The sequence below is a fragment of the Homo sapiens genome, chromosome 17 (genome assembly GCF_000001405.40).
Source record: "Homo sapiens chromosome 17, GRCh38.p14 Primary Assembly".
Lineage (NCBI taxonomy): Eukaryota > Metazoa > Chordata > Mammalia > Primates > Hominidae > Homo > Homo sapiens.
Window position 1 is genome coordinate 42,872,836 of NC_000017.11, and position 27,194 is coordinate 42,900,029.

Consider the following 27,194-nt stretch of genomic DNA (forward strand, 5'->3'; position numbering starts at 1 on the left):
TGGGTGGAGGAATGCTGAGATATGAGGCATTGAAGAAAATCTAGGAAAATGTTAATGGTAGACGCTAGACTTGAGTATGTGGATGTTCACTATACAATTCTTCCAATTTTTCTGTATGTTTAAAATGTTCACATTAAAGGTTGGAGGAAAAAAACAGTGAGATGGGAACACAGATCGGAGGGAGGATTCCCTGAAATCTAGGTATTTGAGATACTGAACTTGACCTAGGATGGGAAACAGGCCATGTCCATATGTATGGTTCCAAGGCCCAGGCTCAACATCATGCTCTGATCCAGATGGATGGATGAGCAACATTTCTACCTGAAGCCTGGTGGGCCAGTTGATGTTTAAGGTACAGGACAGTGGACAAGTGGGGGAAGTCTGCAGAGGAGAGAGAGAGAGACAGAGACAGGCAAGGAGAACTGGACAAAGAATGATACAGAGGCTCAATACTCCAAGACTTTGGGGCTCATTTCCCCCTAGTGTTCACTCTTCAGTGCAGCTTCAGGCAGTGGGACAGTTGACGAACTTGTAGGTCTAATAAAAAACTCCTGTAGGTACCAGCTGGTGGTAACCCAGCGGAAGGAGGAGGAACCTAGTAGCACCAGCATCTACAATTTGAATGACCCTTGGACACCCACTGTGGACTTCACTGACTTCATCAACAATGAGACCATTGCAGGGCAGGTTAGTTGCGCGGAGGGGTGAGCAGGCAGCTGGAGAGGAGGGGAGGAGTCAGGGGGACAAGATGAGCCACTTCACTGCCTCAGAAGCGAGATTCCTCAGGGATCTTCAGAAACCACTAACAATGAAACTTTGGCCGGGTGCAGTGGCTCATGCCTATAATCCCAGCACTTTAGAAGGCTGAGGCAGGTGGATATCTTGAGCTCAGGAGTTCGAGACCAGCCTGGGCAACATGGTGAAACTCCATCTCTACTAAAAATACAAAAATGAGCAGAGTGTGGTGGCGCGTGCCTGTAATTCCAGCTATTCGGGTGCCTGAGGCTTGAACCCAGGAGGTGGTGATTGCAATGAGTCGAGATCACACCACTGCACTCCAGCCTAGGTGACAGAGCGAGACTCTGTCTCAAAAAAAAAAAAAAAGAAAGAAAGAAACTTTATGATTTCAGATTTTTCCTGAGAAACTAAGAACATACAGGTGGGTGAGCTGACTCCCTATCTGCAAGGTCACTGTGGGAGGCAGGGCATGTCCTCAGCAAAGCCAGACCTCGTGATCCTCTTTCTTCTCCCCTGCTAGGACTTGGTGGCCTGGGTGACAGCTGGTTTTCTGCATATCCCACATGCAGAGGACATTCCTAACACAGTGACTGTGGGGAACAGCGTGGGCTTCTTCCTCCGACCCTACAACTTCTTTGACGAAGACCCCTCCTTCTACTCTGCCGACTCCATCTACTTCCGAGGGGACCAGGATGCTGGGGCCTGCGAGGTCAACCCCCTAGCTTGCCTGCCCCAGGCTGCTGCCTGTGCCCCCGACCTCCCTGCCTTCTCCCACGGGGGCTTCTCTCACAACTAGGCGGTCCTGGGATGGGGCATGTGGCCAAGGGCTCCAGGGCCAGGGTGTGAGGGATGGGGAGCAGCTGGGCACTGGGCCGGCAGCCTGGTTCCCTCTTCCCTGTGCCAGGACTCTCTTCCCTCCACTGCCCTCCTTCACATCCCCCTCTGAGCCAGGAGCCTCCTGACCCTGTGATGCCTGACACAGGGGACAGTCAGCTTTGTTGATGCCAGCTGTGCTGAGTTCCCATCCAGAGAGGTGAGGCATGGCCCAGCCTGGAGCCTGGAGCCGTGGCTAAGCATTTCTCCAGACCACTCCTGGTTTTCTTAACAGTTTGTTTTTTTTAATGAGACATAATTCACATACCATAAAATTCATCCCTTTAAAGTATACAATTTCAGCCGGGTGCAGTGGCTCACGCCTGTAATCCCAGCACTTTGGGAGGCCAAGGCGGGTGGATCACGACTTCAGGAGATTGAGACCATCCTGGCTAACACGGTGAAACCCCGTCTCTACTAAAAATACAAAAACAAAATTAGCCAGGTGTGGTGGTGGGCGCCTTTAGTCCCAGCTACCTGGGAAGCTGAGGCAGGAGAATGGCGTGAACCCAGGAGGCAGAGCTTGCAGTGAGCCGAGATCGCGCCACTGCACTCCAGCCTGGGCGAGAGAGTGAGACTTCATCTCAAAATAAAATAAAATAAAATAAAACTAAATATACAATGTCATGATTTTTTTTTTTCCTGAGACAGAGTTTCGCTCTTGTTGCCTAGGCTGGAGTGCAAGGGTGCGTTCTCAGCTTACTGCAACATCTGCCTCCTCAGTTCAAGTGATTCTCCTGCCTCAGCCTCCCGAGTAGCTAAGATTACAGGTGCCCACCACCACGCCTGGCTAATTTTTTGTTTTTTCTTTTGTATTTTTAGTAGAGATGGGGTTTCACCATGTTGGCCAGGCTGGTCTCAATCTCCTGACCTCAGGTGATCCACCTGACTCGGCCTCCCAAAGTGCTGGGATTACAGGCATGAGCCACTGTGCCTGGCCCAATTTCATGTTTTTTAGTATACCCACAAAGTTTTGCAACCATTGCCACTAATTCCAGAACATTTTTTATCACCCCAGAAGGAAACCCTGTATGTGTTAGCAGTCACTTTCTATTTCCCCCCAATCCCTCTCCATTTCTAGATAACCACTTCCCTACTTTCTGTCCCACTGGGCTTGCCTGTATTCTGGCATGAAAAGATTCAAACAATACGTTGTCTTCTGTGATTGGCTTCTTTCACTTAGCGTAATGTTTGTGAGATACATCCATGTTGTAGTGTATGTCAGTGCCTCACTTCTTCATGGTTAAATGATATCTCATTGTATCAATATATCTCATTGTGATTATCCATTCATCCGTTGGTGGGTATTTGAGTTGTTTCCACTTTTTTGGTCATTATAGATAATGCTGTTATAAACATTCATGCACAAGTTTTCTTGTGGATATGTGTTTTCACTTCTCTTGGGTATATGCCTAGGAGTAGAATTTCTGGGTTATGCGGTAATTCTATGTTTAGCCTTTTGGGAAACTGCCAGATTGTTTTCCAAAGTGACTATACTTTTTTCCTTCTTTTAAAATTGTATAAAATATATGTAACATAAAATTTGCCACCTTGGCCCAGGCGAGTGGCCCACACCTGTAATCCCAGCACTTTGGGAGGCTGAGGCAGGCGGATCAACTGAGGTTGGGAGATCGAGACCAGCCTGGCCAATGTGGTGAAACCCCATCTCTACTAAAAATACAAAATTAGCTGGGTACGGTGGCATGCGCCTGTAATCCCAGCTACTTGGGAGGCTAAGGCAGGAGAATCACTTGAACCCGAGAGGCAGAGGTTGCAGTGAGCCCAGATTGCACCATTGCACTCCAGCCTGGGCAAAAATAGCAAAACCCAGTCTCAAAAAAAAAAAAAAAAAATTGGCCACTTTAACCATTTTTAAGTGAGAGTTTAGTGGCATTCAGTAAATTTGGAAGCTCTTTTGGGCCACCTTAGCTCTCCTCTGTCCTGTTTTGTTTGTTTGTTTGTTTTTTGTTTTTTAAGATAGATTCTCACTCTTGTTGCTCAGGCTGGAGTGCAGTGGCATGATCTCGGCTCACTGCAATCTCTGCCACTCAGGTTCAGGCGATTCTCCTGCCTCAGCCTCCCAGGTAGCTGGGATTACAGGTGCCCGCCACCACGCCTGGCTAATTTTTGTATTTTTAGGGGAGACAGAGTTTCATCATGTTGGCCAGGCTGGTCTCGAACTCCTGACCTCAAGTGATCCACCTGTCTTGGCTTCCCAAAGTGCTGGGATTACAGGCGTGAGCCACCATGCCTGGACTGCCCTGGGTCTTAAAGGTGAATAGGGAGCCTCTAGAGACCAGACTGTTCTCCCAAAGCCCCAGAGCAGGTTCCCCAGTAGATGTGCATCTCAGTTTTGGGCCTTGAATAGCAGGTCCTTCTCTCTGTCTGTTCCCTCTCATGCTGACAAAGTCCTCCTCCTCTCGGTTTTCCTGCTACTTCAGCTTCTATTCCCTGCTGGTTTTTGTTTTTTGGTTTTTGTTTGAGATGGAGTCTCTCTCTGTCACCCAGGCTGAAGTGCAGTGGTGTGATCCCGGCTCACTGCAACTTCCACCTCCCAGGTTCAAGTGATTCTCCAGCCTCAGCCTCCCAAGTAGCTGGGACTACAGGCGTGCGCCACCACGTCAGGCTAATTTTTGTATTTTTTGGTACAGACAGGGTTTCGCCATTTGGCCAGGCTGGTCTCAAACTCCTGACCTCAAGTGATCCTCCGGCCTCGGCCTCTCAACGTGCTGGGATTACAGGTGTGAGCCCCTGCGCCTGGCCTGTTCCCTGCTGTTTGTAGCGGAGGTCCTGTGGGAGCGTCCCTGCTGCCTCAGGTCTTGTAGTTCCTTCCTGCATTCCTTACTTCTGGTGTCCTCCTCTGCCCCTGGGCTGGGTTAGCCTTGGATCTGCAGGTACTGTCTTGTTTGAAGAAGGACAATGCTTGGTTATCTCCTTCTGGGGGACCTATGTCTCTGAACAGCTTTCTTCATCTTGCCTCTCTGCATTTCATTGTCATAAAAAAATGTTTCTCCTGTCATCTTGTCATCTGCCTATACTAATAATCCTCTTACAAGTTCCTGCCATTTACACAGGCCATGCGGAATATGCATTTGTGAGGGGGAAGGATGGTCAAGTGTCAGCAGCAGCCCAGGGGTTTTGTGGGTGGAAGGATGAAAAAGATGAAGGGTCATCTGGTCCCAGGGCCCTGGTGACAGTAGCCTCTGTTACTCTGCAGCAGTCAGCATAGGTGACCAGAAAGTCACTGAGGGTAGGCACTAAAAAGCCTCAGGAGTGGCCAGGTGCAGTGGCTCACACCTGTATTCCCAGCACTTTGGGAGGCTGAGGTGGGCAGATCACGAGGTCGGGAGTTCAAGACCAGCCGGACCAGGGCTGCCCCTCATGGGCTGTGGACTTTGGACTTTGGATTGGCATAAATAAGAACCGGGACAATTCCCAGGAAGGGATTTGGGGGTGGGAGTAAGGTGGGGAGGAGGTAGGGCTCAAACACCAAGCTTTCTCAGGTGTGTCAAGGCAAGAGAAACTTACGCAGTATGAGGCGTCCACACCTCTGCTCCTTCAGTGTCTTTTCTGGGAGTGAGATCAAGAAGAGAGGGTGTCCCGTCCCAGCAGATGGTGAAACCCCGTCTGTAGCAAAAATACAAAAATTAGCCGGGCGTGGTGGTGCGTGCCTGCAATCCCAGCTACTCAGGAGGCTGAGGCAGGAGAATTTCTTGAGCCTGGGAGGCGGAGGTTGCAGTCAGCCGAGATCGCACCACTGCACTCCAGCCTGGGCAACAGAGTGAGGCTCCGTCTCAAAAAAAAAAAAAAAAAAGTCTCAGGAGCTCGGGCAGCCAGGTGGGGAGCTGGCCCATCAGGAGTTGGCATGCAAATGAGCCACGTGCCTCCCAGCGGGGGACCAGAGGCCAGGTCAGGGCAACAGCCTCCAGGGCTGCCCGTCATGGGCTGTGGACTTTGTATAGGCATAAATAAGAACCGGGACAATTTCCAGGAGGGGATTTGGGAGTGGGAGTAAGGTAAGGGGGAGGTAGGGCTCAAACACCAAGCTTTCTCAGGTGTGTCAAGGCAAGAGAAACTTACCCAGTATGTGGCGTCCACACCTCTGCTCCTTCAGTGTCTTTCCTGGGAGTGAGATCAAGAAGAGAGGGGGGGGTCCCGTCTCAGCAGGAAGCCCAGGCTGCCCACCCAGTCTGAGGGGACGGCACTGACTGGGCAGGATCTGGCAAGAGGGGAGTTTAGGGTGCAGATTTGGGTCCAATTCAGCTTGTGACCAGAAGAGGGATCATCAACTGGGATCCCAGATCACATGGAATCCTGTGGTTCCCTTGAGAACTGCCTGGACCCCCAGGTCAACCATATGGGCTGGAAAGGAAGTAAGTTCTAGCAAAAGGACCTTCATACAAGGACTAAAGCCGTGGGAACCACACTTCAATTCATGACTTTCAGCATATCTTGAAAGCACTTAGATAGGGAAGGTTTGGAAAGGCAGAACTGCTACTGCCGCTGCTGCTGCCTCTTCTTTCCATTTTGTGTCTCAGCTCAAAGATAGAGCTTCTCTTTACCCTCTCAGCCCAGATAAATATCTTGTTTTGCCTTTCTTGCATTTTTTTTTGTTTAAAGAAATTTGGAGGCTGAATTGGGAGGATCACTTGACCCCAGAAGGTCGAGGCTGCAGTGAGCCATGATTGCGCCACCGCACTCCAGCCTGGGCAACAGAGTGAGACCCTGTCTCAAAAAAAAAAAAAAAAGGCCGGGGGGGGGAGCATAATAGTGGAAATGCTCTGTCTTGCCCTGAAAATGAATGCTGTAGAGAGCCAGGGCTGCCACTCTTGGCTGCTCCACAGGTTGCTTCTCCAGATGCGGAGATGGGGAGAAGGGACCTGTGGCCCCAGGCTGAGGTCTGTGAGGGGCCTGCTGCTGTGGCTCACTTGCTGACCAAGGAGGATGCCATACGGCCCCCCACTGGGGTCTGAGGGCGCAACCCAAGCCACCCTGAAGGGGTGTGTGCACAAGGAGCTCTCAGGAGAAGCCCCCAAGGTGGCCTGTTGGAAGGCTCTGATGGGAACATTTCCTTCCACCTTCAAGAAAGAAGCAATGGGACCCTGAAGAATGCAGCCCAGAGAGATCCAAAGGGTCAGAAGCTCTGGGGCAAATCTGGTAAACTTCCTGGGGGTGCCACAGACTCATCTCCACCTTGCCCTGTGGTCTGGCCCCGCCTTCTGGTGGAGCCTGCCCCCGCCTTCTGGTGGAGCCTGCCCCGTCCCCACCCTGACACTTGACCTGTGGCTGACAGTGGGCCACCTCTGCTCCACTCAGGCTCCGTGGCCGGAGAGTCTGCAGCTTCTCTGGCATTCCTCCTCCCCGTCTGGGTCCTGTGATGGAAACAGTCTCATTCAGCTGCCCCAGAGACTCACAAGTCCTTTACTCATTCAGCAAGTATTTTCCAGTCCCTGCCATGTGTTGGGCCCCTGTTAATTCTATAGTAATATTTGTTGTGGTAAATAAAATTGCCTTCATAGTGATGTCATGGTGGAGGGAGGAACACTCAGGAGAAGAGGGTGTCTCTGAGCCCACAGAGCTCCCACTGCTATTTCTAAGAGGCCAGCAATACATCTTTGCATTTCAGAAAACTGGGTCTATTCAAGAAATAAAGATGGATGGAGGTCAAAATGGGAATGGATTTGGAGAACAGAGTGGGGGTGGGGATGGAGCAGGATGGAAATGAGAGGGGGTGGAGAGGGAATAGGGGGGAGGTTGGTGATGGGGAGGGGACAGGATAAGGAACAAGATGAGGAAGGGGGAAGGTGGAGTTGGAGTGGAGATGAGGATCAAAGTGAGGAGGGCTGGGTCATCCTCTGGCCTCTCCTACCATGCCCCATCTACACGGATGCAAAGAAAACTTCATTCACTCATCGAACGTTTCTGGGACTCTTCCTGAATGCCAGACTTGCATTGGTACAGAAAAATGACTCTCTTCATACTTGCCTTCAAAGAGCTCAGAGTCTGGGCTGCGGAGAGGTCTTTTTATAAACAAAAACACTGGCCGGGCACAGTGGCTCACACCTATAATTTCAGCACTTTGGGAGGCCAAGGCGGGTGGATCACATGAGGTCAGGAGTTTGAGACCAGCCTGGCCAATATGGAGAAACCCTGTCTCTACTAAAAATACAAAATTAGCCAGGCGTGGTGGTGCATGCCTGTAATCCCAGCTACTTGGGAGGCTGAGGCAGGAGAATCACTTGAACCCAGGATGTGGACGTTGTGATGAGCCGAGATCGTGCCATTGCACTCCAGCCTGGGCAACAAGAGTGAAACTCTGTCAAAAAAAAAAGAGCTATGACAGACAAGTGGGGCACAGAATGAGGAGCCATCTATCCCTGGTGGGAGTCTGGGAGGACTTCAGAGAGGAAGTGATGGTTATGTGTGTTTAATTGGATTCATTTATTTAATTCAATTAGTAATACATTCACATGTTCGAAATCCTAAAGGCACAAAAGAACTTGTGTCTGGTCATGGTTGCATAATTCTGTGAATGTACCAAACACCATGGAAACCATTGAATTATGTACTTTAAATGGGCGAATGATACAGTATGTGACTTATAGCTCAATAAAATTGTATTTCAGAAAAGGGTTTATGTCTCCATCCCACATCTGATAATAGTTCCTCCCTGAAGTCAAATAATATGGTGAGTTTCTTCTGTATCTTTTTTGTTGGGAGTTGGGGAGTGACATTTGAAGTGGTGAATGAGCTGAATTTAGTCAAGTAGTGGACTGCGGAATACAGTGTTCTGGCAGTGACAGAGGCACGAAGGCTCGTGGTTCTGTGAATGCCCCAATGGTTGGAGCATGGGGTGAGGGTGGCAGAATGGCAAAGGCTGATTGGGGGTGGGGTGAGCAGAGCCTTGGAGGCCATGCGAGGCAGTGTGTACTTCATCTGTAAGCAGTGATGATCCAGACCTTTAAGCTGCATGAAAAACAATGTGACAATAATTTAAAGACACCCAAATCTCCTTCCAACATCCCGTTGTCATTCACCTAAGTGAAACTGCAGTTCTTGTCTCTATGCACTCATGCGTTTACCTAGTTAGGTAAGCACAGTCTAAATACACTTTTGTATTCTACTTTTTCCATTTAATATTAATCATAAGCATCTTTACAGGTTGTCATGTAATACTCAAATGGATTTTTTTTTTTGAGATGAAGTCTCGCTCTGTTGCCCAGGCTGGAGTGCAGTGGCACGATCTCCGCTCACTGCAAACTCAGCCTCCTGGGTTCAAGCGATTCTCCTGCCTCAGCCTCCTGAGTAGCTGGGATTACAGGCACCCGCCATCGCGCCTGGCTAATTTCTGTATTTTTAGTAGAGACAGGGTTTTGTCATGTTGGCCAGGTTGTCTCAAACTCCTGACCTCAGGTAATCCACTCGCCTAGGCCTCTCAAAGTGCTAGGATTACAGGCATGAGCCACTGCACCCAGCCAAATGGATGGTTTTTAAAGGATAAGAGGTACTCTATCAAGTCGATAGTAAACAAATCATTCCCCATTGGGCAATTGGGTTGGTTCCAATTTGCTATCAAGTGGAAGAATGACCCAGTTGGATCTTGGCTTTGGACAATGGCTTTTACATGGCCAACTCACAGGCTCAGAGCTAAAAGGGATTCAGGGAGTCAGCTGGGCTCATCCTTAGGGTTTCTGTGGCCGTGAGTAAGCACCCCATCTGAACCCATTTCTTCATCTGGAAAGTGATAATGTATTTAAATCACTCAAAAGCTTTTTAGGCCTTGGTAGATTTCTCTGACACTGGAAGGTCCAACCACAGCCTACCTGTTACGCATCAAAGGAACTATCTGAAGACACTGGAATCCTAGCCAGGCAGGGTGACTCGTGCCTGTAATCCCAGCGCTTTGGGAGGCTGGGGCAGGAGGATCGCTTGAGGCCAGGAGTTCAAGGTCAGCCTGAGCAACAGAGTGAGATTCTGTCTCTACAAAAAATTATTAAAATTAGCCGACCGTGGTGGCACATGCTTATAGTTCTAGCTACTTGGGAAGCTTGAGATAGGAGGATCAAGTGACAAGCCCAGGAGTCCGAGGCTGCAGTGAGCTATTATTATACCACCGTACCCCAGCCTGAAGGACAGAGTACCCCAGCCTTGTCTAAAAAAAAAAAGACATAAGACTTTGACGTCCAGATGCTCTCTCCATATTCTGGCCTAGAAAAGTGTCCCCATCACCCTCTTGCCTTCCTTGGTCAGATGGCAAATGAGTGTCTGGGGCAGATGCACTCTGGAGGCTCAAGAGGAAACATTCGGGGCTGCCTGCAGCAGTGCTGAGGCTGCAGTTTAATTTTCTTTGACATCAGTGGTAGAATTTGTCCACTAGGGGCCGGGCGCAGTGGCTCACAACTGTAATCCCAGCACTTTGGGAGGCCGACGTGGGTGGATCACCTGAGGTCAGCAGTTCGAGACCTGCCTGGCCAACATGATGAAACCCTGTCTCTATTAAAAATACAAAAAATTAGCTGACCGTGGTAGCAGGTGCCTGTAATCCCAGCTACTCGGGAGGCTGAGGCAGGAGAATCGCTTGAACCCAGGAGGCAGAGGTTGCAGTGAGCTGAGATTGCACCATTGTACTCCAGCCTGGGCAACAAGAGCAAAATTCCGTCTCAAAAAAAAATAAAAATAGAATTTGTCCACTAGGTACTGTGCTAGGTGCTGGCGGGGGAGACAGTGGGTCCCAGACAGACAGACATGGCCCCCCGACTGGCTTGGCCCAGGGGAGATGCTGCTGGAACAAGAAAACCTCTCTGATGGTTCTTGGAAGTGGGAGCTGGCCCGAGGCCCTCCATCTGCCCCTCATCTCCCTCTCAGAGGCTGTTGCTTCTTCTCTCAGACCCTCTGGCCCCAGCTTCCCTGTAGCTGCCACAGAAACCTCATCATATGAAGGGAAAGAGGCTGTAGCATTCTCAGTAGGGCCCGGGTCTCAAACACCTCCATGCTGCATGTCTCTTATACCACTTTTTTTTTTTTTGAGACGGAGTTTTGCTCTGTTGCCCAGGTTGGAGTGCAAGTGCCATGATCTCGGCTCATTGCAACCTCTGCTTCCCGGGCTTAAGCGATTCTTGAGCCTCAGCCTCCCAAATGGCTGGGACTACAGGCACGCACCACCATCCCCAGCAAATTTTTGTATTTTTAGTAGAAATGGGGTTTCGCCATGTTGCCCAGGCTGGTCTCAAACTCCTGAGCTCAGGCATTCCATCTGCCTTGGCCTCCCAAAGTGCTAGGATTACAAGCATGAGCCACAGTACCCAGCCCCTTATGCCTCTTAACTTTACATCTCCGGGTCAGAATATGATGGGGAATTCTCCCTTTCTCGAGGACCTCCAAGGAATGTGATGTCTGTCACTCCCAATTCTCCTATTGAGAAGGAAAAGCCAGTACAGGACAGAATACTCTGGGCCAGATAATTTCCATCTTTGTTTCACTTAATCCGCATAACAACCTTGAAAGGCAGATGTTAATTACACCCATTTCACAGATGCAGAAACTACAATTCAGAGAGATTAGGAAACATGCCCACAGTCATCTGGCTGGTAAAAGGTGGGGCTGGGAGTGAACCCAGATCTTTGCAGAATTACACCTCACGGCCTTCCCTGGGCCGTGGCTCTTTTTCCACTGCCTGGTAGGCCTGTTTGAAGAATTAAACAAGGTATCAGACTCATCTGAATATTGTAAGAAAAAAAAAAAGAATGAAACAAGGTAATGCTTGAGAAACCCTTGGCACCTGATCCATATTAAGTGACCCTCTCAGAGCAAAGTCATCACTCAAATGACAAGGGCAGAAATATGCAGAGCTGCTTTTCACAAAGGTGCTCAACCTTGACTGCACATTGAAATCACCTGGGAAGCTTGTAAAACTCCACATACTCGGACTGCGCCTCAGCCTGATATGATCAGAGCCTCTGGGGGCAAACCACAGACATGACTGGCTTTTAAATTTCCCCGGGTGATTCTACTGTGTAGCCAAGGTTGGGAGAACTCTGGAGATGGTAGTTCAGTTCCAAGCCTCCCAAGAGGAAGCTGACTAGAGAGTCTAAGACATAAAGAATGTGTCCATCAGAAGGTGCAGAAAGGGGCCAGGCACAGTGTCTCACCTATAATTCCAGCACTTTGGGAGGCTGAGGCAGGCAGATCACTTGAGTCCAGGAGTTCGAGACCAGCCTGGCAACATGGCAAAACCCTCTCTCTACAAAAATACCAAAAAAAAAAAAAAAAATTAGCCAGGATGGTGACATGCACCTGTGGTCCCAGCTACTAGGGAGGCTGAGGTGGGAGGATCATTTGAGCCTGGGAGGCAGAGGCTGCAGTTAGCCAAGATCATGCCACTGCACTACAGCCTGGGCGACAGAGTGAGAAGACCCCGTCTCCCTCAGAAAGAGAGCATCACAGAGCCTGCCCTGACAGTGACAATCAGCCACATTTGGAGCAGAGGACCTGGCCAGGGCCAGGACACGTCCTGTCCTAGAGGCACTTTAGCCATGCACATGGAGTCATCGGGCCTTATTGAAGCTATATTGTGACCAACTGCTGGTTCTGATTCCCAGCTCGACAGGCCAGCTTCCCACCACATCATGGTGATGGGAAGAAAATGGACACATCACTTACATCTCTTTTTGTAAATGAACTAATTGACATTCTAATAAGAATTACTTTTGCTTTGACAGTTACAGTAAATCAACAGATTGACCTTCAGGTGTAATTTTGGTATATATAGACCTTCCCTGAAAGACAATTCCCATTGGTGAGCTGAGGAATCTGGTTTCTGATTCAGGCTTCTCCCTTGGAGTGGGGTGAATTCACCAATAAACCATCTTGAGATATCTTGGGAGATGTCAGCCAGCCTCATCTGATGCAACCAGCCTAGCCACGGACTTCACGTCTAACTTTCAGAGCAGAGACTCCATGTCAGCAAATTCCTCGCCTCCTTCCCTCCTCTCCTATAGTTTTGGCTTTTTGTATTGTTTTGTTTTTGTTGTTGTTTTGTTTTGTTTTTGTTTTTGTTTTTGAGACAGAGTCTCACTCTGTCACCCAGGCTGGAATGCAGTGGCGCGATCTTGGTTCACTGCAACCTCCGCCTCCAGGTTGAAGTGATTCTCCTGCCTCAGCTTATTGAGTAGCTGGGATTACAGGCGCCCGCCACCACGCTCAGCTAATTTTTGTATTTTTAATGGAGATGGGGTTTCACCATGTTGTTCAGGCTGGTCTCGAACTCCTGACCCCAGGTGATCTACCCACCTTAGCCTCCCAAAGTGCTGGGATTACAGGCTTGAGCCACTGTGCCCAGCCTGTTTGTTTTCTGAGACAAGGTGTTTCTGTGTCACCCAGACTGGAGTGCAGTGGTTCAATCTTGGCTCACTGCAGCCTAAACCTCCTGGGCTCAAGTGATCCTCCCAACTCAGCCTCCTGAGTAGCTGGGACTATAAACGCATGCCACCACCACTGGCTTTTTTTTTTTTTTTCAACAGGGTCTCGCTCCATCACTCAGGCTGGAGTGCAGTGGTGCGATCACAGCTCACTGCAGCCTCAGCCTCCCAGGCCCAAGCAATCCTCCTGCCTCAGCCTCCTGAGTCACTGGGATTACAAGTGTGCACCACCATACCCAGATAATTTTTAAATATTTTGTAGAGACAGAGTCTCCTTATGTTGCCCAGGCTGGTCTTGAACCTTGAGCTCAATGGATCTTCCTGCCTTGGCCTCTGAAAGCACTGGGTTTATAGGTGTGAGCAACTATGCCTGGCCCCCTCCTATAGTTTTTCCCTGGCCAATATCCCTCTTATAAATCCACAGAGCTTCTCACTCTCTGCAGGGAATATTAGGTCATTCACATACCTGGGTTCAGTCCCTACACCGCAGTCATCGTGATGCTTACACCCCAGACACCCCAGACGTGTGTCCTCCTTCAAACAGCCTATTCCCACCCACTAAGCCTCTGCCCATGTGTTCCGACTCCTCCCTCCCTTCCTTCCTCTGCTTCCTTCCTCTTTCCTCTTCCTTCTCCATCTAGTGACAGCTTATTCACTGTCTAAAACCCAACTCGAATCCCACTCTCTCGACCTTTCCCTGAACAACATTATTTACTTTGTTGTCTCTGCTCCCATAGTACTTTGGACAGAACTCTGCCATGGAGGTTCACAAACTGAACTCTAGTTCCTTGACCACGTGTGTCCTCCCCTCACTCCCCACACTGAACCTGGCTTTGGTGGCCTGGTGCCCAGCATGGTGTTGTGCCCGTGTGTGGATGCTTAAATACATCTTTGAAATTTGAATAAATAGTAAACATTGTTATACATGAGTCATGTTTTTCTCTTTAAAAGCCACATCATATCCATTTGCTCATTGGACTACTTCAAAAGAGAAGCTCTAAGGACATCCAAAGATCCTAAGTGAAAAATCACCCTGGCTGCACGGGTCAAGCCAGGACACAGGGCCAAAGGTCGGTCAGCACTGACACGCTGAGCCCAGGCGTTTGCTTTCCAGATGAGACCTGCACCGCTGGACCAGCAATGCAGCAGAGGCAGCAGGAAGAGGGAGATGGAGCCAAAGGGTTTCTGGACAGGCGGTTGCTGGCAGATCTATAAATCGATGCCCCACAATGGGCTGTCACTGAAACAGGCCAGGAGTAGCCCAGAGCCTGGAGGTAGACCTGAGAGGGCAGGGTGTGGGAAGATTAGAAGCATAGGCTAGGCCAGGCACAGCGGATCGTGCCTGTAATCCCAGCACTTTGGGAGGCCGAGGCAGGTGGATCACCTGAGGTCAGGAGGTCAAGACCAGCCTGGACAACATGGTGAAACCCATCTCTACTAAAAATATAAAAAAAAATTAGCTGGGCATGGTGGCACATGCCTGTAATCCCAGCTACTCGGGAGGCTGAGCCAGGAGAATCACTTGAACCTGAGAGGCGGAGTCTGCAGTGAGCCAAGATCGCGCCATTGCACTCCAGCCTGGGCAACAAGAGGAAAACGCTGTCTCAAAAAAAAAAAAAAAAAAAGCATAGGCTAGAAATTGGACCACAAAATAATATAGAATTTGACATGTGGGTGAAGATGGGTGTTTTGGGGGCTGCAAATCAGTCATGTTCTCCTCAATCTGCGTAAGCAGAGGCAATGCGGTATAGTGGTTTACAGTGTGGCTTCTGGAACTAGGTTCCTGGGGTTTGGATCCAGCACATGTGACACATGTGACCTTGAACAAGTTATTTAACTTCTCTGGACTTCACTTTCCTCACTTGTAAAAGGGGAACAGTAATAAAATCTACCTCAGGATTTTTATGAAAATTAAATTAGTAAATCCATGTAATTTTTCTTTTTTTTTTTTTTTGAAATGGAGTCTCGTTCTGTCACCCAGGCTTGAGTGCAGTGGCATGATCTCGGCTCACTGCAAGCTCTGCTTCCCAGGTTCATGCCATTCTTCTGCCTCAGCCTCCGGAGTAGCTGGGACTACAGGCGCCCACCACCACACCTGGCTAATTTTTTGTATTTTTAGTAGAGACGGGGTTTCACCATGTTAGCCAGGATGGTCTCAATCTCCTGACCTCATGATCCGCCCGCCTTGGCCTCCCAAAGTGCTGGGATTACAGGCGTGAGCCACCGTGTCTGGCCCATGTAATTTTTCAGAACAAGTCCCTAGCTTATAGTAAATGCTCAATGAATGTGAGCTATTATTTAATATTTTATTAAGTAGCATCTATGAGGTATTGAAGTGACTGTGTAAGGAAACCACGGTAGCTCACATCTATAATCCCCATACTTTGGGAGGCCGATGCAGGAGGATTCCTTGAGCCCAGGAGTTCAAGACCAGCATGGACACTCCAGTAAGACCCTGTTTCTACCAAAGAAATTTTGTTAAGTTAGCCGGGTGTGGTAGCAAGCACTTGTAGTCCTGGCTACTTGGGAGGCTGAGGCAGGATGATCTCTTGAGCTCAGGAATTCAGGGCTGCAGTGAGCTATGATGGATTGCACCATTGCACTCTGGCCTAGGCAGCAGAGCAAAACACTGTCTCTAAAAAAAAAAAATAGAAGGAAAGAAAAAGGAAACCACCCGAAAACATAGTGGCTTAAAACAACAAACCAATACCTTGCTCACAGTTCTGTAGGTCAGCAACCTGGCTCAGGCTCTGTTGGGCAGTTCTGCCAGATTCTCCTGGGATTGCTCCATGGATCACTCACATGGACTGGGGCTGGGTGGTCTAAGGCGGCCTCACTCTCAGCGCTGGTGACTGGGGGTGGCTGTCAGACAGGCCCCATGTTGTAGTAACCTGTCTCCAGGAGGCTGCCCGGACTTCTCCCCCTTGTGAGCTGGGGTTCCAATTGTAGCCCAAAGAGGGTAAGCCCTGGCTTTTCAAGCTTTTGCTTAGATCACATTTGTTTTTTGTTGTTTGTTTGTTTTTCTGAGACAGTCTCACTCTGTCACCCAGGCTGGAGTGCAGTGGCGCGATCTCAGCCCACGGCAATCTCCGCCTCCCAGGTTCAAGCAATTCTCCTCCCTCAGCCTCTTGAGTAGCTGGGACTGCAGGTCCCCGCCACCAGAGCCGGCTAATTTTCGTATTTTTAGTAGAGACAGGGTTTCACCATGTTGGCCAGGCTGGTCTTGAACTCCTGACCTCAAGTGATCTGCCCGCCTCGGCCTCCCCAAAGTGCTGGGATTATGGGTGTGGGCCACCACACCTGGCCTACTTATATCACATTTGTTAATGTCCCATTAGCCAAGGCAAGTCACAAGATCAAGCCCAGATTCAAAGGATGAAGACATTTACATCTTGATGGGAAGAGAGGCAAAGTCACAATGCAAAAGAGCACACGTCAGGGATGGGAGCATTTTCACAGCCGTGCGAACAGTGTACTATACTGGGCACCAGACATGTAAGCAGAGCTCAGTTCTGGAGGCTGGAAGGAATGCTTTCTTGGCCCTCGGGGCTCAGGATAGCAGGTTAAGATGCAAGCAAAACCATTATGATGCAAGGTCTGAATGCGATAAGTGCCCCAACGTAGGAGTTCAAACCAGACAGATCTTTTGCAGCTAATGAGGGGTGGAGGTCAATGGGTTGAGAAGGCTTTATTTTCTTGACCTTGAAGTGTGGTTAGAATCTGGTCATACAGACATGGGGAAAATGATATTCCAGGTGGAGGAAAAAGCAAAGTTGGAAAAACCAAGGCATGTTTGGGAAATCCAAACTTATCTAATATATCTGGTGTGTGGCCATCAAGGGGAACTGCACAGCATAAAACTAGAAAGATAAGCTGGGGTCCAATGCAGGTGAGCTTGTGTTTGAACTTCAGTTTGAACTTCATTCTGTAGGCAATGGGGAGCCACTGAATATTTTTCAGGTGACAAGTGAAAAGAACTGTATTGTAAGAAGACTCCTTGGCCTGTATTCTATAGGATGGCTTGGGGTGGGGAGCAAGAAGAGGAGAGGTGATCACAGGTAATGAAGGGACTGTGGGCGGGCGGCGGGGAGGGGGCGGGCCTAGGCAATGGGGTTGGCCCGGGGCAGCACGAGTAGAAAGTATCTGGACAGATCCTGATGAGTGACTGCAAATGTGACATGAAGAGGTGTCAAGGTTGGCTCCGAAGTTGCCAGGCTCACTGCCCAGAGGATGGCAGAGAGCAGGAGATTCATTTACAAAGCAGGGGAGTCTGAGCAACAACAGGTGTGAAGGGACCCTATGGATGTGGGGACTGTATGGGACATCCAGGTGGTGTCCAACCAAGGTCTAACGTCATGCTAAGGAAGGAGGAGGAAGAGAAAGGAGAGGAGACTTTGTCAAAGCAACACTGAACACAGTGTTTCAAGGTGCTTAACAGTCAAGTATTAGATGTGGCCAAATGATTAAGGAAGAAGAAAGATGAGTAGAGGCCAACCAGCTGATTTGACAATGAGGAGGTCACAGGTGACTTCCTAGGAGAGCAGAGGAGGCTGAAGTCCCCAGGCTTTCTTTTCTTTTTTTCTTTTTTTTTTTTTGAGACGGAGTCTCGCTCTGTCGCCCAGGCTGGAGTGCAGTGGTGCGATTTTGGCTCACTGCAAGCTCTGCCTCCTGGGTTCACGCCAATCTCCTGCCTCAGCCTCCCTAGTAGCTGGGACTACAGGCGCCCGCCACCATGCCCAGCTAATTTTTTGTGTTTTTAGTAGAGACGGGGTTTCACCGTGTTAGCCAGGATGGTCTTGATCTCCTGACCTCATGATCCACCCGCCTCGGCCTCCCAAAGTGCCCAGGGTTTCTTTTTTTATTTTATTTTATTTTATTTTTTTGAGACAGAGTCTCACTCTGTCCCCAGGCTGGAGTGCAGTGGTGTGATCTCGGCTTACTGCAACCTCCGCTTTCTGGGTTCAAGGTATTCTCTTGCCTCAGCCTCTTGAGTAGCTGGGACTACAGGGCATGCCACCATACCCAGCTAATTTTTGCATTTTTAGTAGAGACGGGGTTTCACCATGTTGGCCAGGATGGCCTCCGTCTCCTGACCTCGTGATCCGCCCACCTCGGCCTCCCAAACTGCTAGGATTAGAGGCGCGAGCCACTGCACCTGGCCCCCAGGCTTTATTTTTATTTGTTAGTTTGTCTCACTCTGTCACCCAGGCTAGAGTGCAGTGGTGGGATCTCAGCTCATTGCAACCTCTGCCTCCTGGCTCAAGTGGTTCTCCCACCTCAGCCTCTCAAGTAGCTGGGACTACAGGCACATACAACCACACCCAGCTAATTTTTTTTAGGGGGTTTTTTGTGGGTTTAATTTTTGTGGGTTTCTTTTTTCTTTTTTTTTTTTCTTTTTGTAGAGGTGGGGTTTTGCCATGTAACTGAGGCTGGTCCAAGCTTTATTTTTTATATTTTATTTATTTTAATTTAAATTTTGTATGGAATGCTTCACGAATTTCACGACTTGTGCAGGGCCCACACTAATCTTCCCTGTACCACTGCAATTTTAGTATATGTGCTGCCAAAGCGATGACTGAAGTCCCCAGGCTTTGAGGAGGGAGCAACAGGCATCCTGCTTTCTGGGATTCGAAGTTGGAGAGAACCCCTAGACTTACATGACCCTCTCTTTCCACTTCACACCCACTAGAGTGAATGAAATGTTAAAAATAAACACTGCTGTTCCCTTCCACCCTAAAGAAGAGAGGCACGCTAGACTCTCCCTGCTCCTCTCCCTGTCTCTCTGGCCTGCTGGCTGGAGATCAGGCACCACCAGGCAGACAGGCGCTGGCGGGACAGGCGGCTGTTTACTGCTAGTAGAGTACTGCTGTGTTTTCACAGCTCAGAATAGCTCTATAGCCACCCCCAGGCCTGGGGACCTAGGAGCCTCACTGTTTATTTTCATGACAATTCTGGGCCTCACCTCTTCCCTTCTCTGAGTCAAGGTCCTCATTTGAGAACTCTCAGAGGGGGTAAGGTGTGGGTTAAAGGGTCCAAGACTACTAATTTCCTAATTATCTGTCCCAGCTGGCTCTGGAAGAGGGGAGGACGAATAACTGACTGTACAACACGGGCGTTTTGGTTGGGATGGAATTTCCCCTGCTTTTAAAGAAAGAGTTGATTAAAGGACTGCATGGCCAGAGCCGGTGGGGAGGAAAACGTGGGAATGAAAGAGGGTAGAAGGGATGACCCCATCTGGATTGCGACAGGTTCTGTGTGAGGAGCTTTCACTAGAGAATTATGGGGGCTTCTCTGACTCATGGTGCCCCTCAAATCAGGCTGGGTTCTGGCTGCCCTGGTGTTTAAAAGGTATTCAGAGGTAGGGGAAGACTGGCTTCACAGAATACTCTTTTGAACTCTGAATTTTTTTAATAATGTGAGTGTATTACTTTTGAAAATATTTTAGGCTCACTCCTGTAATCCCAGAACTTTGGGAGGCCGAGGCGGGTAGATCGCCTGAGTTTGGGAGTTCGAGACTAGCCTGGCCAATGTGGTGAAACCCCATCTCTACTGAAAAAAAAACAAAAATTAGTCAGGCCCTGGTGGCCTGTGCCTGTAGTCCTGGCTACTCAAGTGGCTGAGGCACAAGAATCACTTGAACCCGGGAGGAGGAGGTTCCAATGAGCCAAGATTGTGCCCCTGTACTCCAGCCTGGGTAACAGAGTGAGACCCTGTCTCAAAAAAAAAAAAAAAAAAAAAGGCCAAGCATAGTGACTCACACCTGTAATCCCAGCACTTTGGGAGGCCGAGATGGATGGATCATCTGAGCTCAGGAGTTCAAAAACAACCTGGGCAACATGGTGAAACCCCATCTCTACTAAAAATGCAAAAAGTTAGCCGGGCGTGGTGGCGCGTGCCTGTAATCCTAACTACTCGGGAGGCTGAAGCAGGAGAGTTGCTTGAACCCAGGAGCCGGAAGTTGCAGTAAGCAGAGATCGCACCACTGCACTCAAGCCTGGGCGACAGAGGGAGACCCTGTCTCAAAATAATAATAATAATAATAATTTTTAAAATATGAACACATTTATCTTTTTGTTCTGGCAATCATTAATCATTTACTTCTGTTAGATAATTCAAAGCCAGGCACCACTTCATTGGAACTACGTTCAAAGGACTGCCACTACTCAGAATATCAAAGCTGAAAAGAGGGTGAGGGTCCCTGGGTCTCATTTTACAGTTGACAAAAGCAAACCCCAGAGACTCCAGTGATTTGGCCAAGGTTGCACAGTTGTTAAATTTTATTTCTTTTTTAAAATCCGGTGATGCCCATGGCGGGGGTACAGTTTCCTGGGCTGCCTGCTGGAGGCTTGAGAGTGTTTCTGAGAGTCTGCTAAGGAAAAGGAAGGAGCACTTTCTGCCCCCTGCCCACCTCCTACCCACCAGCCCCCACCTCTCTCCCGTCCACAACCAGGCTGAGCAACAGCTGGGCAATTGATGACTTGGTTTCTTTCCCTCCTTCTTTAGTCGGTCTCAATTATTCCAAAGAATCCTTGAGTTGAAGCAAGGAGGGACAGCGGTTTGGGCTTAGCTCAAGTCACACTTCCCTTCTCTCCTCAAATAGCCCTTCTTTGCCTCTGGGATACAGACCAGGACCAAGGGGAAAGAAAGCCTTTTAAAAATAGTCCTGGCCACACTTTTGCAGGTTTCCTTCCCTTGCCTCTGCCTCTCTAGTGCACCATCAGCAAGTTTAACTCCTGGCAGGAAGGATGAAATTTGACAGCAAGAATGTTTCTTAACTTCCTTCCCTTGCCTCTGCCTCTGTAGTGCGCCATCAACAAAGTTTAACTCCTGGCAGGACGGATGAAATTTGACAGCAAAAATGTTTTCTAACTGCAAAGGTGGTTTGGCACTGCAAAGGGTTGATTAAGAATGGGAGAAGAGGTTGGGCGCGGTGGCTCAAGCCTGTAATCCCAGCACTTTGGGAGGCTGAGGCAGGCAGATCACTTGAGGTCAGGAGTTTGAGACCAGCCTGGCCAGCATGGTGAAACCCCGTCTCTACTAAAAATACAAAAAATTAGCAGGGCGTGGTGGCACGCGCCTGTAATTTCAGTTACTCGGGAGGCTGAGGCAGGAGAATAGCTTGAGCCTGGGAAGCAGAGGTTGCATTGAGCTGAGATCACGCCACCGCACTCCAGCCTGGGCAACAGAGCAAGACTCTGTCTCAAAAACAAAAACAAAAAACAAAAAACAAAACAAAACCAGAAAAGTCTACCATCTGTTTGTGAGGGAACTAGTTAAATGTTCGTGGAAACAGGTTACTTCCTGGAGGGAACAACAGCTTCTTTTGGGAAGGGGGCTAAGGAAGAGCGAGGTGAAGAAGAGGAAGGGCAGTTCGTGCTTCCCATAAAGGTTCTGGTGACTCATTTGATTTTGGAAGAAGGCAGGCCCTGGGATGGCAGGAGGAAGGTATCTAGTGGGGAGTTCTGAGATGTTTACAATGCGGCAAATGACTTCAGGTTTTCTTCTGTGCACAAAATGTGCAGCCCATCCTGAGACACGCTCCACGCTTCCCCTACCTGCTCAGTTCAAGGTCCTAAAGCTGAACTTTCTCACTGTGCCAGAGAGAAGCCAGCCCTTTGCACTGGCGAACAATGATTAACCCGCCTCTCCCTCCACCTGTTTTTCTCAACATGTTTTTCTAAAACATAAACTGGGTCACTCACTTAGAAGGTGACAGCAGTTGATCTGGCCAGTTTCCCATGTCCACCATGAAACACTTCCTCCATTGATCACTTGGTAGGGAAAAAAAAAAGCATACAAAAGAAAAGTAATTAAAAACAAAAATAAAACTGTACATTTTGCACTTTGGGCTGTAGCCCTGCTGCTCGGACGAAGCTGTGAACTGGAGCTAGGTTTCGAATCCCATCTATAGTATGTAGAAAACACCCATTCTAGGTCAGGCACAGTGGCTCACACCTATAATCCCAACACTTTGGGAGGCTGACAGAGGAGGACACTTGAGCCCAGGAGTTACAGACCAGCCTGGGCAACAAAGTGAGACCCTGTTTCTACAAAAAATACAAAAAATTCGCCGGGTGTGGTAGCACCGGCCTGTAGTCCCAGGTACTGGAGAGGCTGAGCTGGGAGGATTGCTTGGGACCCAGGAGGTCGAGGCTGCAGTGAGCATTGATGGGAACAGTGCACTCCAGCCTGGGCAACAGAGTGAGACCCATCTCAAAAACAAAACAAAACAAAACAAAACAAAACAAACCTATTGTAGGATGATAACTGAGTAAAGGAAAGGTGGCTCCTCTCTCAACAGAATCCAGAGCCCCCACCCAGAATAGAAGATACAGCTTCAGGTAAAATCAGACTTTCTTTTTGGTAGTAAATGCAATTTTTGGATGAGGTGTGTGGTAAGTTACAGCTCCTTTTCCCTCTTTGCTTTCTCGTCTGCAAATAAACTTGTTCGAGTGAATGAGTCAACCTTGCCCTGGGAGAATGTGCCAGGGCCCTGGGCCCAGCTGCACTTACTCATCAGCAGACCAGACTGTACTTCCTGGCATCTTTCCTTCATGTTCTTCTCAAGATCCAAAGCCTCTGGATTTCTAGTTGTGGGGAAAATGCCTGAGGAGTGGCTTGCTTGGGTACCTACCAAAGAGGAGCCCAAATGATTTTCCATCCTCATTCCTTCCCCAACTCAGCTGGCCATTTCCCTAGAGGGTGTTAACGAATCTTCTCTACCGAGGACAAAATAATAGGGAACTCACTGATATTTCTACAAAGGAAATCAAAATATTTCATCCCAAACTATGGCTCCCAATATAATAAGTACTTTTTTTGTTCGTTTGAGACAGGGTCTCGCTCTGTTGCCCAGCAGGAGTGCAGTGGCACGATCACGACTCACTGTACCTCCCGGGTTCAAGTGATCCTCCCACTTCAGCCTCCCGAGTAGCTGCAATTACAGGTGCCAGCCACCTCACTGGGCTATTTTTTTTTTTTTTTTTGAAATAGGGTCTCTTTCTGTCACCCAGGCTGGAGTGTAATGGTGTGATCTCGGCTCGCTGCAACTTCCACCTCCTGGGTTCGAGGGATTCTCTTGCCTCAGCCTCCTGAGTAGCTGGGATTACAGGCGCCCACCACTACACCTGGCTAATTTTTGTATTTTTAGTAGAGATGGGGTTTCACCATGTTGGTCAGGCTGGTCTTGAACTCTTGACCTTGGGTGATCCACCCACCTCAGCCTCCCAAAATGCTTGGATTACAGGCGTGAGCCACTGCACCTGGCCAATTTTTGTATTTTTTGTAGAGATGGGGTTTCACCATGTTGGCTAGGCTGGTCTCAAACTCCTAAGCTCAAGTGATCCACCAACCTCAGCCTCTCAAAGTGCTGGGTTTACAGGTGTGAGCCATCGCACCAGGCCGTGACTATTTTAAATAAAAAACCCTTGAGAGGTTTTTTCACCCTTGGGAGCCTGGAAGAGATTTTTTCCCCTATCTTTCACCTATAAAGATAGGACTGGCCGGGCATGGTGGCTCATGCTTGTAATCTCAGCACTTTGGGAGGCCGAGGCGGGTGGATCACCTGAGGTCAGGAGTTCGAGACCAGCCTGGCCCAACATGGCAAAACCCCATCTCTACTAAAAATACAAAAATTAATCGGGCCTGGTGGCACATGCCTGTAATCCCAGCTACTTGGGGGGCTGAGGCACAGGAATCGGTGGATCTCAGGAGGCAGAGGTTGCAGTGAGCCAAGATCATCGCATTGCACTCCAGCCTGGGCAACAAGAGTGATACTCCGTCTCAAAAAAAAAAAAAAAAAAGGACTGACACAAAAGAACAATTGTTCTTCTCCTTCCTTTATCCCATTATCCATCACAGAAAAGAAGACCAAAAATGTAACCATAAAAAAGTCTCAACAGACCCTTTTTCAAGACAATGACTGTCTCTGAGGACCATTTAAAATCCAGGGAGAACTATTTACAAGTTAATTTCTGTTCCTCGATCCAATCATTCTCCCTCTGCCCTTCGACAGAATTCCTCTTCTCCTCCTTCCCATAACCTGTTTTTAACAGGATCCAAGCCACCCATTCTTTCTGCAACCTCAAGATGGTGGATGAGCTTCCATACCTCACTGGGAAGTTGGATCTTCATTCTTAAGCCTCCCATGTATACATGTTAAATACATTTGTAATCTTTTTCTCATATTAATTAATCTGCCTTATGTCAGTGACTTTTCAGCGAACTTGTAGGTAGTCACTCACATAAGGATCCTCCAGTTTACATAGTTTTGTAAATGTCAGGTCACCCTGTCCCACTAGACCACCAAGGTCCTGGAGGACACCTGGGATTTAACTTTTTTTTTTTTTTTTTTTTTTGAGACAGTCTCGCTCTGTCACTGAGGCTGGAGTGCAGTGTCAGGATCTCCACTCACTGCAACCTCCACCTCCCGGGTTTAAGTGATTCTCCTGCTTCAGCCTCCCGAGTAGCTGAGACTACAGGTGCCCCTCATCATACCCGGCTAATTTTTATATTTTTAGTAGAGATGGGGTTTTGCTATATTGGCCAGGCTGGTCTTAAACTCCTGACCTCAGGTGATCCACCCTCCTCAGCCTCCCAAAGTGCTGGGATTACAGGCGTGAGCCACCATGCCCAGCCTGGCTTTTAACTTTTAATTCCTCAGAGAGCCAGGCATGGTGCTTTGCTCAGGAAATGTTGGTTGAATTAAACCGGAGCACTTCTTGAAAAGGGAAAATAACAAAGAGTTAGAAGGAGATGGCGGGAACCCCTCTCTGGAGATAGTTCTTTAAATTAGTGGATTCTGCAGGGCACTGTTGCTCATACCTGTAATCCCAGCATTTTGGGAGGCCAAGGCAGGAGGACCACCTGATGCCGGGAGTTTGAGACCAGTCTGGGCAATGTAGAGAGACCCCCATCTCCACAAAAAATAAAAAGTTAGCTGGGTTTGGTGGTGTGCGCCTGTAGGCCCAGCTACCCAGAGACTGATGCAAAACGATCCCTTAAGCCCAGGAGACTGAGGCTGCAGTGAGCTGTGATGGTGCCACCGCACTCCAGCCTGGGTAACAGAGTGAGACCCCGTCTCAAATAAACAGATAAATGAGTGGATTCTCAGCAAAACTTCTAGCCACTCGCCTCATATATCCACAAGACCTTTGAGAATCCACGGTGTCTCGATGCAGTCAGCTTTCTAACAAGCTGGGGCCTCACCTGTTTTCCCACGGATAAAAACGTGCTGGAGGAAGCAGAAAGGGGCTGGCAGGTGGAAAGATGAGGACCAGCTCATCGTCTCATGACTATGAGGTTGCTCTGATCCAGAGGGTCCCCCTGCCTGGTGGCCCACCGCCAGGAAGACTCCCACTGTCCCTGGATGCCCAGAGTGGGATGTCAACTCCATCACTTATCAACTCCTTATCCATAGGGGTATTCTTCCTGAGGCGTCTCAGAAAACAGGGCCCTCCCCATATGCTGACCACATAATAGAACCCCTCCCAACTCAGAGACCCTGGCTGCTAGCTGCCCTGGCATGACCCAGACAGTGGCCTTTGTATATGTTTTTAGACTCACCTTGACTCACCTCTGACCATAGAAACTCTCATCCCAGAGGTCACTGCAATAGTTACTCCACAACAGAGGCTTATCTGGGTAGAGGGAGGCTCCCTACCTATGGCCCAGCAGCCCTGACAGTGCAGATCACATATACCCCACGCCCCAGCACTGCCTGCCACGCATGGGCTTACTTTACACCCACCCACAGTCACCAACACATTACCTGCTCTCCAAGGTTAGGCGTGGCAGGAGAAGTTTGCTTGGACCAGCAGAAACCATGCAGTCAAGGACAACTGGAGTCAGCATGGGCTGGGTGCGAGCCCTTGGTGGGGTGGGGAGGAGACTCCAGGTCATACCTCCTGGAGGATGTTTTAATCATTTCCAGCATGGAATGCTGTCAACTTTTGCCACAGATTCATTAGCTCTGAGTTTCTTTTTTCTGTCCCCAGCTACCCCTTACATGTCAATATGGACTTAATGATGGGAAATTCAGGCAAGTTTTTAAACATTTTATTCCCCCTGGCTCTTATCCTCAAAAAATGCATGAATTTGGAGGCAGTGGCTCATGCCTGTAATCCCAATGCTTTGCTAGGTTGAGGCGGGAGGATCACTTGAAGCCAGGAATTTGAGACCAGCCTGGGCCGCATAGTGAGACCCCGTTTCTACAAAAATAAATAAATAAATAATAAATAATAGTGATATGAAGCATGATTAAATAGCCCTATTTTTTAAAATGCATGAGTTCGTTACCTGATTCATTCCCTGGTTCCTTTCACAGTCCTCCGTGACCCAAGTGTTAGGGTTTTGGTCTCTCTACTATTTGTAGGCTGATATATAGTATACACACACACACACACACACATATACACACACACAGTGTATCTTGAGCTTTCTTTTGTATATCTACACACATATGTATAAGAAAGCTCAAGATATAGAAGCCCTTTTTCAAAAATAACTGAAAGTTTCAAACTCTTTAAGTCTCCAGTTACCATTTTGCTGGTATTCTTATTTGGAACCATACATTCATCATATTGTTGCACAGTAAGACTATACATTCATTATTTTGCTTAAACGTATGAGTTAAAACACTTGGCCAGGCATGGTGGTTCACACCTGTAATCCCAGAGCTTTGGGAAGCCAAGACTGGCAGATCTCTTGAGCTCAGGAATTCAAGACCAGCCTGGGCAACATGGAAAAACCCCATCTCTACAAAAGATAGAAAAATTAGCCAGGCATGGTGGCGTGTGCCTGTGGTCCCAGCTACTCAGGAGGCTGAGGTGGGAGGATCACATTAGCCCAGGAGGTTGAGGCTGCAGTGAGCCGTGATTATGCCACTGCACTCCAGCCTGGGAGACAGAGTGAGACCCTGTTTCAAAAAAAAGAGAGAGAAAATTTAAAAAAGAAAACAACACCAAGGGCTGTAACTTTAAGGTCATTAAATGAATTAATCACTGCATTCAAAAACGATTACTTTCTGGCCCTAAGAGACATGAGGCCAATACCAGGAAGGGGGTTGATCTCCCAAACCAGAGGCAGACCCTAGACTCTAATACAGTTAAGGAAAGACCAGCAAGATGATAGTCCCCAATACAATAGAAGTTACTATATTTTATTTGT

The 27,194-nt window shown here is 48.7% G+C and overlaps 1 long non-coding RNA gene and 1 pseudogene across 1 annotated transcript, besides 3 other annotated features; both read right to left on the minus strand.

Annotated features, from left to right (window-relative positions):
- Positions 1-1,838: 1,838 nt before the first annotated feature.
- LINC00671 (long intergenic non-protein coding RNA 671) lies at positions 1,839-25,899 on the minus strand. Its single transcript, NR_027254.1, has 6 exons — positions 25,798-25,899; positions 21,731-21,799; positions 11,760-11,851; positions 5,692-6,983; positions 5,140-5,238; positions 1,839-2,028 (listed from the first exon to the last, which is right to left on the minus strand). It is a non-coding gene; the product is annotated as a long intergenic non-protein coding RNA 671 (long non-coding RNA).
- Positions 4,965-5,494: an enhancer, noted in NCBI's record as "H3K4me1 hESC enhancer chr17:41029817-41030346 (GRCh37/hg19 assembly coordinates)". NCBI's record gives its function as "activates a minimal SCP1, AML or CMV promoter by ChIP-STARR-seq in primed H9 embryonic stem cells {active_cell/tissue: H9 hESC(primed)}" and the evidence as "EXISTENCE:reporter gene assay evidence [ECO:0000049][PMID:30033119]".
- On the minus strand, positions 18,503-18,600 carry RNU6-287P (RNA, U6 small nuclear 287, pseudogene; annotated as a pseudogene).
- Positions 21,589-21,733: an enhancer, noted in NCBI's record as "145 bp enhancer 258 fragment used in the MPRA reporter construct; PK_construct_284". NCBI's record gives its function as "activates an SV40 promoter by MPRA in HepG2 cells {active_cell/tissue: HepG2}" and the evidence as "EXISTENCE:reporter gene assay evidence [ECO:0000049][PMID:23512712]".
- Positions 21,655-21,668: a transcriptional cis regulatory region, noted in NCBI's record as "HNF1 motif; enhancer activity is reduced when this motif is scrambled". NCBI's record gives its function as "necessary for full MPRA enhancer 258 activity {active_cell/tissue: HepG2}" and the evidence as "EXISTENCE:site-directed mutagenesis evidence [ECO:0005528][PMID:23512712]".